The sequence below is a fragment of the Homo sapiens genome, chromosome 2 (assembly GCF_000001405.40).
Source record: "Homo sapiens chromosome 2, GRCh38.p14 Primary Assembly".
Classification (NCBI taxonomy): Eukaryota; Metazoa; Chordata; class Mammalia; order Primates; family Hominidae; genus Homo; species Homo sapiens.
Window position 1 is genome coordinate 235999020 of NC_000002.12, and position 13488 is coordinate 236012507.

The window sequence follows — 13488 nt, forward strand, 5'->3', positions numbered from 1 at the left end:
ATGGTGGTGGTGGTACTGGTGATGGCAAGAATGATAATGATGGTATGGTGACCAATATGGTATGGTGGTGATGATGGTGAGAGGTGGTGGTGGTGGTGACAATGATAGTGATTGTGGTGACGATGGTGAGAGGTGGTGGTGGTGATGATGATGATAATGGTGATGGTGATGATGGCAGTGTGATGACCAATATGGTATGGTGGTGATGATGGTGAGAGGTTATAGTGGTGGTGACAATGATAGTAGTGATTGTGGTGACGATGCTGAGAGGTGGTGGTGGTGATGGTGATGGTGGTGGTGGTGGTGGTGGTGATGATGATAGTGGTGATGGTGATGATGGTAGCATGATGACCAATATGGTATGGTGGTGATGATGGTGAGAGGTGGTGGTGGTGGTGATGATGGTGAGAGGTGGTGGTAGTTATAGTGGTGGTGACAATGGTAGTAGTGATTGTGGTGACGATGGTGAGAGGTGGTGGTGGTAGTGGTGATGGTGGTGGTGGTGGTGATGATGATGATAGTGGTGATGGTGATGTTGGTAGCATGATGACCAATATGATATGGTGGTGATGATGGTGAGAGGTGGTGGTGGTGGTGATGATGGTGGTAGTGATTGTGGTGACGATGGTGAGAGGTGGTGGTGGTGATGATGGTGGTGGTGGTGGTCGTGGTGGTGATGATAGTGGTAATGGCGACGATGGCAGTTTGATGACCAATATGGTATGGTGGTGATGATGCTGATTATGATGTTGTTGGGAGCAGGAGATGAGGAACCTGTATCTTGATGCTTCCCTGAATGTTGGGGGTCAGGTCTGAGATGTGTCAAGCGGGGCAGTGTTCTGACTTCCATTCATTAAACTTGTAAGTCACGATTTGTGGGTGCTCCTGATGTGTGCCCATAACAAACCTGCTACACCAAGAACGTAGTTTTATAGTCATGAGTTCCGAATAGTCTCATAGACCATTGATCCTGCTTCTAATGACTGTCAGAAAGAATACGTGAAGGCCAGCTTCTAGACCAGTGTCCTCACGTGCAGGCGTCCTCGAAGGTTTGTTTGTTAGTAGCCATAACCGTGCAGCATCCATCGGGAGGACACACACCCCTGCAGGCCAGCTTTTGTCTCAACATCACTGGAGAGCTGCATATTACGTTGTTATTTTTGTCTTTCCAATTACACTAACTCCTCACTCAATGTCATTCATCAATAGGTTCTTAAAACTTCGACTTGAAGCGAAAGGACTTATAATGAAGCCAGTTTTTTTCCTTATCAGCATCATAATGAAACAACGTGGGAGGAAACAAAGTTATTTGAGGACCTGCTGTACACAGTTTTGCTTAAAGTCACACATTTCCAAGAACCTGTCAATGGCATTGAGGACTTTCTGTACAAAAATCACTACGCGTGACAGCTCAAATAATAAACAGTTGTTCAGAGACAGTGGTACTGCGTCCCCCTCCTCCAGTCCAGTCCCCCACCCTGAGCGTTGATGGTGGGGTGTGCATCCCCCACCCCCCAAGCCTGTTCCTAGAAGGCCATGGCGCACCTGCTCTGTGCAGAGGCTGGGCGAACACCAGCCCGAGCCTGACTTAAGCAGGATGGGCATGGACATCGTTGGCACTCACTTCCCTGCAGGGAGGTGCACAGTGAAGAATAAAACACAGGTGATTTCAGATAGTGGCACATGCCTGAGGCAATCAGCCCCGATGGTGTGGCGGGGCAGGTACTAGAGATTGTGTTTGCAGTGAGGGCCACTAAGGGGGGCGGAGAAGACCCCTGACAGCAAGAAGGAGCCCCACTTGTGCTGTTCTGTAAGGAGGGTCTTCCAGGCACAGAGAGTGGCTGATGAGAAAGGGCCTGTGTGGAAGGAACCAGGGCCAAGCGAGGGAGGCAGATGCCGCGTGGCGTGAGGAGGGTGAGAGTCCATGCCATAAAGGACTGTCATCCATCTGTCATTGGCTGAATTGTGACCTCCAGAAAGAGATGAGTTGTCCTAACCCCCACTACCTCAGAATGTGGCCTCATATGGAACTAGGGTCATGGCAGATGTCATTAGCTATACAGGAGGGGAGGGGATGGACCCTCAGAGGCGAGACGGACGTACAGGAAACACCACATGGAGACTCTGGCGGTGGCTGGGGCAGCGCGGCTGTGGGGCAGAGAATGCTGAGATAAACGCCACCATCAGAAACCAAGAGAAAGGAAAGGGACAGGTCCTCCGGGGAGCCTTCATGGGGAGCCCTGGCATGGCCTTCAGGCCTCCGAGGAACCCAGAGGAGGAAACGCATTTTTGTGGTTTCACGCCACCCAGCGTGCGGTGCATTGTGGCAGGTGCAGGCCGCTAGTGCCCCCCACCCAGTCTCTGTGTCCTCTGCACAGTAGGGAGCTGGGGAAGGTGTGTGGCTACTAACGTGAGCCTGTTAACGTTGAAAATTTCCCTCTGGCGGCTGGGCAGAGTGGGCTGCAGGGGCTGAAGTAGGCAGTGGTGACAGTGGCTTCCCCAGGCATCAGCGCCACAGGAGGAGAGACACAGACTGTGGCTTGCAAGCAGAGCTGGCAGGACTTGCTGAAAGAGTTAATATGGGAAGTGAGAGGACACAGAGGCCAGGGCCGGGAGACCAGGAGGCCGAGAGCGGTAGAACGTCACATCCTGGAGGGGCGGGGATTTCCCCTTTTGTTTTGTTTCTGTATAAGATCATACCATGTATATTCTGGAATTTTACTTTTCTAATTTAACACCCCGTGGGTCTCCAGTTCTTCCACAAGCTGTTTGAAAGGCCACAGGGCACTGCGTGGAATGCGTGGTCTCTAATAGGTTATGCCAGCCCCTCTCGTTGGGCATTGAAATTGCCTCAGCAGTTTTTTTAACAATTACCAGTAATACTTCCCTGAACATCATTGCACATACATTCTGAAGCGCTCACGCTTTGTTCCTGTGGACATCTCTGCCTGATTGGAAGCTTGCGTTGCACATTCAGCCCACGCCTCCATGGCTGGTCCTGGACTGGGTGAGGACACCATGAGAAACAGCTAGACTTGGGATGTCTGTGTTGACAGGGCCATGGGTGAGAACAGAGAGTTTCTCAAGCGACATGCCAGGAAGAGCTGGCTTCCCCGCACAAGCAGTGCTACCAAGGGTCCATTTGTTACTGAGTCATTCATTCAGCAGACTCGTTGAGAACATGTGTGGTAGGCACGTGCTGGGCACTGAAAATAAACAGACAAACACAACATGACCCACGCACCCAGCCTGAGCCCAGGAGGCTCCTGGTCCCGTCCTGGAACAGCCGGTGACTCAAAGCTCAAATATCATCCCCACCTGGACAGTCTGCAAATGACTTTCCTTCTTCCCTCATCCCCTTTCCCATCCTCACTCTCTTCCAAGTATCTGATTGCACGCATGTGCACATGTGTGAGTAGGGGAGAGGCTGTGTGTTTTCATAAGCGAATCCTGATTTTCTGACAAAAGAGACATGAAACAAATATGTTAACAAGTAATGTTGCTCCCTCTCATGAGGGGGTCACTGGCTGCCCTTATAGAAGGCCTTGGAAAGAATTACTTCATGCATTCCTGTTCATTGGCGGTCTTTGGCCTTTGAGAGTGGAACTCTGCATCTTCTTGTCCCTCCTGGATGAATACAGGACACTTAAACATTTAAAGGGGGGACACAGAGATGGGCAGGACTGTGAGAGTCCCCCTGAAAAGCGAGATTTCATAGAAGTATTGAATTTTACCAAAAGTTTCAGAAGTCCAATTCATTATTAGATTTCTATAAATATAAATATTTATATGATATTTCTTGCGTTGAATTCAGTATGTGCTCAAGTTAAGTGTGATTTGAAAAATGACCAAGTCTCCTAAGGTGAAGTTTGTGTGTGAACAGGAGGGCCGGGGTCGCTGGGTTCCAGGCGCAGCCATGAGACACCTGCTCTGCACCCAGCTCTTCTTTTGTTTTGCTCACCGAGAAAAAGAAGACTCGGGAACCACAGAACTAACACAGAAGTAAGTTAGAAAATTACTCACGTATTCGCCCACTGTGTGCCAACAGAGTCTTGATCTATTGCCCAGGCTGGAGTGCAGTGGCACGGTCTCAGCTCTTACTGCAGCCTCTGCCTCCCAGGTTCAAGCAGTTCTTGTGCCTCAACCCCCCAAGTAGCTGGGACTACAGGCACATGCCGCCACGCCCAGCTAATTTTTGTATTTTTAGTAGAGACGGGGTTTTGCCATGTTGCCCAGGCTGGTCTCGAACTCCTGGCCTCAGGTGATCTGCCTGCCTCAGCCTCCCAGAGTGCCAGGATTACAAGAGTGAGCCACCACGCCCAGCCCAGGATGCTTTCTTTTCATGGGTCTTTGTCCTTTGGAGGGCCTTGACCTCACGCAGCAGGGGAGGATGCTGGCCCACACCAAGGCACCAAGATTTTACCCACCTCTGTGTGTGGTCGCACGTCCTCCTCATGGCCACGCTGGGATGGAGGTGGACTCTGAGCACAGACAAGGGACCCATGGCCCAGAGCCCAGAGTCACCCGCAGCCCCCCTGCGCTGCTGCTGCCCGCATGGGGTACCCTTAAGTCCCACATCCAAGCTCCCTCCACCCCACACTCTCCCTTGGATTTGCGCCTGTTCTTTCTCTGGCTGTGCACCTGGCAGTGCTGAGAGGAGAGCCTGGTGGGCACTTCCACCCTGATCAAATTCAGTCATTAACCCCACTGAAACCTGACAAGGCCTGTGTGCAGCTCACTGTGGAGGGGTCACTGCTGTCCTACCACTTTTTTTTTTTTCTGGAAGTTTGCATGTCCTACACTATCTATAAATATGTAACTTTTTTTCCAAAGAACTTAAAATGAAAGAATATGAGAAAACCCCTAAATAATACATACATGGTATAGATTGATGCATAAAACAGTCAGCCCCTGGACTCCATGGCTCTGTGGAATGGGCGGTTTAGTATTCCTTTTTCTGGCAACTCACTTAGGGCTTTTACAGGTGCAATGAGCTTTGGTGAAAATAGCCAATGGGCACCTCGTATCTTGTGCCCCAAATATTCCTATTTAGCACAGTGTATTCTGGATGCCTGAGTGACTGCAAACCCTCCTCCTGTGTAACTTTGTTACTGTTTTTCCTGTCTCAGGAAAGATGCTCATTTTGTCTCCTGACTGTGGCAGTTGGGGGTCTTGAGACCATTCCTGAGTTTAGACCTTCCCAGGGGAGATCAGTGACCACAGATGTGCCTCGGTGAATTTCACAAACCCAGCTTAGCGTGACCCAAGTTTCCAGCTTTACCGAACTTTGTCATTGTTATTAAAAAGATGATTTTAGTGTGCTGATTAGAAACTGGGATCCACATTCAACATAAGCACAAACTTTTTTTCCCAGTGGGCCAAAGCTCATTTCTGATCATTAAAAGCTAATCCTGAAAATTAGCTGGAGCATGGTTCAAGCATACGTTGTAATCTGTTAAAAGCAAAAATAATAATTTCAAGCAGTGTTCTGCGTCTGTGTGGAAACAGCTGGTCTACCCCAAAGAGCATCAGGAGGCTATACCCTCCTCCCACAATTCCAAATAAAATATATGGAGACAGCACAGCATCCGGAAGAACTGGCATTGGTAAATTATTGCCTCCAAAGAATATTAGTTAGCAAACATACTTTGAAAGCCATCTTCACAATCATAAATTCAATAGTACTTCTTTCAGTCACAACTGAATGCCAGTTGGGGCAGCCTTTCGAGTTGTTAAGCAGTTTAGTAGCAAATGTGACATATAGTGTGTGTGCCACAGTAAGATTTCAAATTGTCATTAATTTGTAAAATTTAGGAGAAGAAATGATATATTGTGACGAGATAATAGTTTTCTCTGTATGTACTCCAAGCTATCAAATACTTCTAGCCTTTAACTTGGCAGTGTTACTCTTGGCATTTTATTCTATGGAAACAACTGAAATGAATGGAAGAAAAAATAATATTCCTGTTCAAGATGCTTATTAGAGTGTATTTGATAGACTTTGTTTTCTAGGAAAGCTTTAGACTTTTAGAAAAATTGAGGAGATATTATAGGTTATTCCCATAGGCTTCCCACCACTTCCCCCTGACAAGTTTCCCATGTTTTTTGTGTGTGTGTGTGTTTTGGTTTTTGTTTGTTTGTTTTTGTGACAGGGTCTCACTCTGTCACCCAGGCTGGAGTGCAATGGTGCAATCTTGGCTCTTGCAACCTCCGCCTCCCAGACTCAAGCGATTCTTGCCCCTCAGCCTCCCAAATAGCTGGGACTACAGGAGTGTGCCACCGGCTAATTTTTTTTATTTTTGGTAGAAACGTTGTTTCACCATGTTGCCCAGGCTGGTCTCAAACTCCTGACCTCAAATGATCCACCCACCTCAGCCTCCCAAAGTGCTGGGATTACAGGTGTGAGCCACCATGCCCACCCTCTCCCCTGTTAATTTACCTCTTTCATTAGTATGGTACATTTCTTAGAGTTCATGAGTCAATATTGATATGTTTTTATTAAAGTCCACACTTTATTTGCATCTCTTTAGCTTTAACCTCATGCCGTGTCTCTGTTCCAGGATCCAAATCCTATTCCATTGTCATGCCTCCTTAGCCTTCTCTTGGCTGGGACATTTTCTCAGACTTTTCCTGTCTTTGATGACCTTGAAGGTCTTGAGGCATGCTGGGCCAGGTGTATGATAGGAATCCCTCTACTGGAATTTGTGCAATGCTTTTCTCAGGTTTCATCTTGAGTTACAAGTTTTGTGGAGAAGGACCACAGGGTGAAGTGCTATTTCCATCCTATCCTGTCAAGGGTATATACCATCAACTTTATTTATGGCTGCTGATGTTGACCTTGATCCTTTGACTTGAGGTAGTGTCTGTCAAGTTATTCTGCTGTAAAGTCATTGTGCCCCTCCACAGCCCATACTGAACTTTTGGAAGGAAGTCACTGTGCACTTAAGGAGTTGGGCGTTAGACCCCCTGTCCTTGAGGGTGGGGTGTCTATGTAAATTTTTTAGAATTCTTTTGCAGGGGAGATCTGTTTCTCTCCCCCATTTATGACTATATTCAGTTGTCTATTTGTATTCATGTGGACTTGTGAATATTTATTTTGTATTCTAGGCTGCTATCCAATACTGCTGTGGCCCAGATTATTCCACCCGTGGCTCCTGGGGGCTCCTCTGGCTGCTCCCACACCCTTTGCCCTACACCCCATCTCTGTGGGGTTTCTTTTGTTTGAGCACTTTCCTTCCTTTCTGTCAGTACAAGGTGCATTTTGTATCTTTCCTGCCACAATCTTAGAATCGGCTGTTTCCCAAAGAGCTCTGGTTCCTTTTACTGGAGAATGGTATTAGAAACCAGTGTCTTGGAGCTAGGCGTGCTCGTTGCTTCTGGGGTGCCATTTCTTGGTTCTCTTGGCCAACAGAGTAAAGAACGAAATGTGTGTATACTAACCTGCATATGCATATATATCTACAAATATTTCTATATGTAACCATCTGTATCTATATTTAACAGATTTCATATTCTTACTGGCATAAAATTGGAAATAACTAAGTGTTTTAACATGAGGAATGGCTACAACTATGTTAATACTACCTCCATGATGCAACTGTTATAAGGGACAGGTTGGAAAACTGTGGAAACATAATACTTTACATTAAAAAGTAGTATTTTTTATTGTAGAGTCTCCAACAAAGGTCTCTGTTGGAGTTACGCTTACAATGTGATAGTTGTGTGTGTGTACGGATATGAACTTTAAAGGAAAAATGGAAAAGGTAGATAAGCCATGGCTTATTCATATTAAACTAACATAAAATTAACTTTGCTTCTGCCATAATGTTAGTCTTCCAGTGAGTTCTTGCTGAAACCTGAATGAAGTTGATGTATTTAATTTTAAATGAAAGAAATGAGACACTTTTTATTCCGTTGTTGTGTTAGCCCTGCAGTGCTTTTTCAGGCCCTCCCAGATTAATAATGACCTTGTTTACTCATTGACAGTAACCAAAGAGCCTGCTAAAAAAGTTGTGAAGTTAAGGTCAAAGCAGTTTTATGGGAGGAAATCTGTGAGTGTTTAAAGGAAGGATTTCCATAATAGCAAGAAGAGCCCAAAGTTGGGAATTCTTCTTTTGCTTTTCCACTCTGATCTTTGTATTAATGCTTGATTGACTGAATAAATGCCATGTATCTTATGGTTTTCATGATGATTTCTCAAGCCACACGTCAGGATACTTTTGGGAATTTCCAGAGAAGTCCTTAAATGGAAAAGCTAAAATTATCTCTAGTAGATATTTTCACCAGTCTTCAGTTCAGATGGCTTACATATAAGAGGAGCATGATTGACTGGATAACCCTGAAGTGTATCATTTCACCCGCTGTAGTTGTCAGAACTCAACTACAAAGATGGCAGATCAAATACTTCAAGAAGGGTGGTTGTTTGCCATTGTGGAGGCTGGTGGTCCAGCGATCACAGCCCCTCAATTACGGCCCTGCGTGAGAGCACAAGCAGCAGTCATTACATAATTATACCTCTGATTAGTTGGTTGAACTGGCCATTGCCTTTGAAATATGATAACACAATTTGGAGTTTTATTAAAAAACAATTTTTTTGGAATTTTTGAAAAAGATTTTGTGTTTAAGAAAAAAGAACCAAAGGGCCTGCAATATATTCTGTTAGAGGAGATTAAAAAGAAGAAAGGGATGAGGGAAAAAAAGAGATGAATGTTTCCCATTATCACTCATTTCTGTCTCAGGAGGGCTAAGGTGGCCCCTGCTCACCAGCCTTCCCCTCTCGGCATCACCAGCCCCCAGCCTGCTATCCGCTTCACAGAGCAGCGAGCCAGTCCTTGGAGAGGGGACGTGAGAAGGGGCAGAAGTCAGGGGACCTGAGGCTGCTCCCCGGCACCAGTGCTGCTCAACACACACAATTGTGTGACCACCACTGAACAAATCTCACAAGAAAGAGGTGCATTTTACTCCACACGTCATTTGGTTTTGAAAAACTAATTTGAACCTCATTTTTTTCTAAGTGAGAATTTGGTTTGCTGTGTGTGTGTTTTCAATTTGGATTGCCAAGTATTCAGTCCTAACATATGTTATGGTTGGAGTGCATATAACACTGTGCAGCCGAATAACTAGACCTAGAAAATAAAACTGATCACGGTAAAGTTATTTTCCAGGCAGGGGATGCCTCATGATACTGGCTGGGGCCCAACCACACCCAAGGCCTCGTCGGTTTCTGTTCTCATGCTGTTGTCATATACCCAGAAGTAGGGGAAGCCCAGGAGCCATGGAGCCTCAGTGTCAGTTCCCTGACAAGCCATCCTCCAAAAAAGCCTTTCCTTTGCAAAATGAACAGGTACTCCGTGAAAACAGGGAGAGAAATTTCTGTTTTTCACCGATGCATTTCTCACGTTCATCTGACAATGTGCAAAACAAAAAGTCTACATTAGAAATTTATCATGAAGTTATACTCTACTTCAACTCACTTCTTTTCAGTCCCTGTGAAAACTTAATACTCTTGGTGTTGTACTGAAATACCCAGTGGATTTGGGGTGCACCTGTACCCTTGATCTCCACTTCTGCGTGTTTCTAGGCCAAAGGGAAAACCAACTCTCTACCTAATTGGAACTTCTGGTTTTATTGCATATCCTGGAGGTCTTGCTTCGTTTTTATTTTCCCGGGTTGATGGTCTTTCCCATGTGCACCTACGTTAGCCCACTATGTAGAACGCCTTGGCAGTTTTCACAGAGTAAGAGGTTGAAGGAAGCCACCAATGTGAAAATCATATTTGCTGTAAAGAAAGAACCATTGTGAGTTGTTGGAAACCAGATTAAAATTCCATAATTGGAGATTGATGACTTTTATTTCATGAGTTTTACTTAGTTAGGTGTTTTATCTTCTGTGTTTTGTGGCTCCAAATTACGAAGACTGTTGGCCTTGCAAGAAACTGATCACGGCAAAGTTATTTTCCTTACTGAACACGTGTCCTATATATTTGCTTGGCCTCGGGTTTTGTTTAATCCCTTCAAAGGCCCTTTGAACTGATGTTTCAACATGACTCCTTCTCTGTGAGCTCTCCGCTAGGAAGCGGCCATCATGTCAAGCCCCTTCACAGCTAAAGTAGTGAGTTCACATAGTCGAAGAATCTTCTGGGTTGCATCTTATGAAAAAAAGAAATCCACTGCCTTTTTATAAGAGAACAGAACATTTACACCGTCTTGTTGAGCAAATGAACGTTCAAATGGCCAGCACAAAAGAAATCCCCAATCTCTAACCTCACAATGAAATCGCCACGGACAAAAGATCACGGGATACCGGGAGCACTAAACTGGAAGTGACACAAAACCACAGCAGAATCCGCTCACACCTGCCGAGGTTCCTGGGGGATGATCTTTGTGTAAAGGATCCTGGTGCCGCAGTCAGCCTGAAACACTCCAAGGAGCAGAGACGCTCCCCTCTGCAACAGTGACATTTATACTGATGGCGTCTTTTTAAATAAATTAATACATGTCTGATGTGGACAGAGTAGTGCTGTCTGACAAGGTGATCATTTGACTTTTCTTAGAGGTACAAATTTACGCTCCCTTCTATGAATAGAGAGGGCTATTTGTTTCATTCAAAGACAAGACATTGTTAGAAATGAGTGGCACACCTCTTCAACCCATCCCCTTCCTCCATGGAGGTAAAAAGATCCTATTAGTTCTCATAATTGATTCTGAGGGCTGCAGCGTGCCTCATTTAGCCGTCCCTGCTCGGTTCACGCCAAGGATGTAATTCATGCACACTTGGACGTCCAACATGGCTGACGCGCCTTGGACACACAGCCTCGGCGCTGCATCATTTTTTAATCAGCTATCTGAGGAATATTTATCTGATCAACAAAGAGTGTTGTCAGGAGGAGACCAGAGGTGACATTAATAAGCCTGTGGTTTCCTGGTACAATGATGGAGGAAGAGTTTGGAATAAAACCCTGCTCGTTTGAGCATGCCAGCAGACTAAAGAATATTTTTATTCTGCTTACAAAGAGCCAGTCAAAAGAGTCTCAGTTTGAAGTGTTCAGTTAAGTTTAAGTCTCAGTGATAAGTTTTCAGGCATTCACATGTGTTAGTAAAAAAAAAAAAAACAAAAAACTTTTAGAGAAACAAATTAACAAATTTTATTTCAAAATAAAAATTTAAGTTCCTCATGTCGCAGGAACCCAGATGAAAAGCTGTAGCTTCTAAAAATAGGGAGAGGTGTAATAATTGGGAGCTGTTAACGCTAAATGATTCCAGCTACTCTAACTTAGTAGAAAGACGTAGTAAGCTGCACACTTTCCCCTTCTGTCTGTCTTTGAAAAGATCGTGACTGTCTGTTAGTAATTACAAGGAGCTGAGTATATTATGCCAGGCCTCGTTTGGTCATCCAGACACAAGATTTGCTGTTTATAACGATCAGATGCCTTAAGAAATGTTCTGTGAATTAAAGTTTCTATCACACTTTCTTTTCTAAGTGCATCACTGTTTGTGCACCACATGAGACCCTCATGAGTGGAGTGACACCCATCCCATCTGCCAACCTGAAGACGCAGAAAGTCCATACATAGCCAGTGTAGACATCAGCACACTTTGTCCACGTTAGGATCGTGGTACCAGAAGGTGCCACAGTGATCTCTCTTTGTAATTCAAAGACTGCCTCATGAATTCAGTTTGCTAACGCCTTCGGTGTTCCTCAACAGGAGGGCTCTGTGTGTGTTTTCCGGAAAATTAATACCATTGTTATATTACACAAGGATAAATAAACATTTTGTCTTAGAGTTTGGGAGTGAGTCTCTCTGCATTGTCTTAACCTGAGTTTTTCAAAGTTTTGATCCTTTTAATCCTTAGAAAATACACTAAAAAAGTACAAAAAATTAGTCGGGCGTGGTGGCGGGCACTCGTGGTCCCAGCTACTCGGGCGGCTGAGGCAGGAGAATGGCTTGAACCTGGGAGGTGGAGCTTGCAGTGAGCTGAGATGGCGCCACTGCACTCCAGCCTGGGCTAACAGTGCAAGACTCCATCTCAAAAAAATGAAAAAAGAAAATACATTCCAGCCAGCATGATGATGAGTTTTCCATGTGTGTTTTAAATTCCCAGCAGTCGGTGGTGATTCCCTTGTTTGACCTCTTGCTGTGATACCCGCATGTAGCACCCTTGTGTTTCACCTGAGTTCACGGTTCACGTTTTGGCACCATTGTGGGGACAGTGCTGTCCTCCCACGAGTGGCATTCTCTCCCAGGCCCACTGACTGTTCTGCCTACCCAGATTAGAGCTCAGAAAGTTCCATTTAATTTGCAGACTAAAGTGAGAAGAGATCAGTCTCGTTGTCTACACTGGAGCTGACAGTCAGTTTGTACCACATCTGAAATTATACTTGTGGGATTTCATGTCCATTGAGATTCGCGTATGTGTTTTTAAACATGTAAGACAGTGCTGAGACATCCTGCCGCATACATAGCTATGGGAGGCATTGTGAAACTCTGTTTACCAAAGAGACTTTTGCTTACGCAGCAAGCAAAATAGCAGAATGGAAAACACTAACGGAATGCTCACACCCTGCTGCCTTTTTGTTTAATAACAGGTGAAATTTTGATACTAGAATAATAGATTTTGTGAGAAATAACATTAGTAACAAAATCAAAATAAGTTAGCCTGTGTTTAAGAGGAAGAAACTGTATTCCTGAAAGTAGAACAGGAATTTTACTAAAAATTTTAATTAAAATAAAGACCCGGAAAGTTTTAGTCTATTGCTAGTCCCCCTGAAGTCCCCGAGAATCGCCTTTTATTCCAAAGGCCTGAGACCAGAGGGAGGCTGCCAGTGGTGGGCAGTGGCTGGGTGGCACCAAACATCAGCTCGGAGCCTCCTGGTTCCATTTGGCACAGTGTCTCCGTAGCCCCTCAAAGTGATTCCAGGCAGCAGCATCCGACATAACCCAAGGTGTTATTGATGATAATAGGATTGTATTTTCTTGTTGAGAAGCTTCTAAACAAGGGAACTTAGAGCAATCAATGCCCCCGGAGACCGATGCACATATCAGGACCTTGGTATCAGCTAGAAAACATCCATTTGTTTAAGGGGAAGAAACAGGCACGACATTTTGCACATTAAAATGGATTATTTCATCAATAGGTTAATAGAAAGCCGGGCTGCAAGTTCACTTCCTGCTTATACATCCTGTGGTAATGGGAGAGCAGAGTGTGAAAAATGGAAGGCATAAAGCGGGCGAGGAAAGAGGCTTTCTGCACTCGGGCACCCCTCCCCTCCCGAGGGGTGCCCAGCCTCCATTCTGCCTATTTATATGTAAATATTGCTGCAAGAGGTAAGTTGTACTCTTGAGGAGTGCAGCCTTCTCATGGCTACCTCTTTCTGGAACTTGCGAAATACTGTCCCAGACACCAGAGCTGCAGCAGTTAAAAATTAAGCCCATGCCTAATTCTGCATCATCATGCCTGGGGCCCCTGGTACATACCCATCAAGCATTTC

At 45.2% G+C, this 13488-nt stretch overlaps 1 protein-coding gene and 1 long non-coding RNA gene across 5 annotated transcripts in view, besides 2 other annotated features; both read left to right on the forward strand.

The window, feature by feature from the left end:
• Positions 1-8177, forward strand: part of LOC124907999 (uncharacterized) — a 35153-nt gene extending 26976 nt beyond the window's left edge. Inside the window, exon 2 of the long non-coding RNA XR_007088134.1 lies at positions 1210-8177. This is a non-coding gene — a long non-coding RNA (uncharacterized LOC124907999). The remainder of the gene's footprint in view (positions 1-1209) is intronic.
• The window catches only part of AGAP1 (ArfGAP with GTPase domain, ankyrin repeat and PH domain 1), a 637751-nt gene that overhangs the window by 504977 nt on the left and 119286 nt on the right, over positions 1-13488 (forward strand). The window lies entirely within an intron of this gene.
• Positions 1037-1927: an enhancer, noted in NCBI's record as "H3K4me1 hESC enhancer chr2:236908700-236909590 (GRCh37/hg19 assembly coordinates)". NCBI's record gives its function as "activates a minimal SCP1, AML or CMV promoter by ChIP-STARR-seq in primed H9 embryonic stem cells {active_cell/tissue: H9 hESC(primed)}" and the evidence as "EXISTENCE:reporter gene assay evidence [ECO:0000049][PMID:30033119]".
• Positions 2506-2800: an enhancer, noted in NCBI's record as "tiled region #6211; HepG2 Activating non-DNase unmatched - State 15:Elon, and K562 Activating non-DNase unmatched - State 24:Quies". NCBI's record gives its function as "activates a minimal TATA promoter and a strong SV40 promoter by Sharpr-MPRA in HepG2 and K562 cells {active_cell/tissue: HepG2 | K562}" and the evidence as "EXISTENCE:reporter gene assay evidence [ECO:0000049][PMID:27701403]".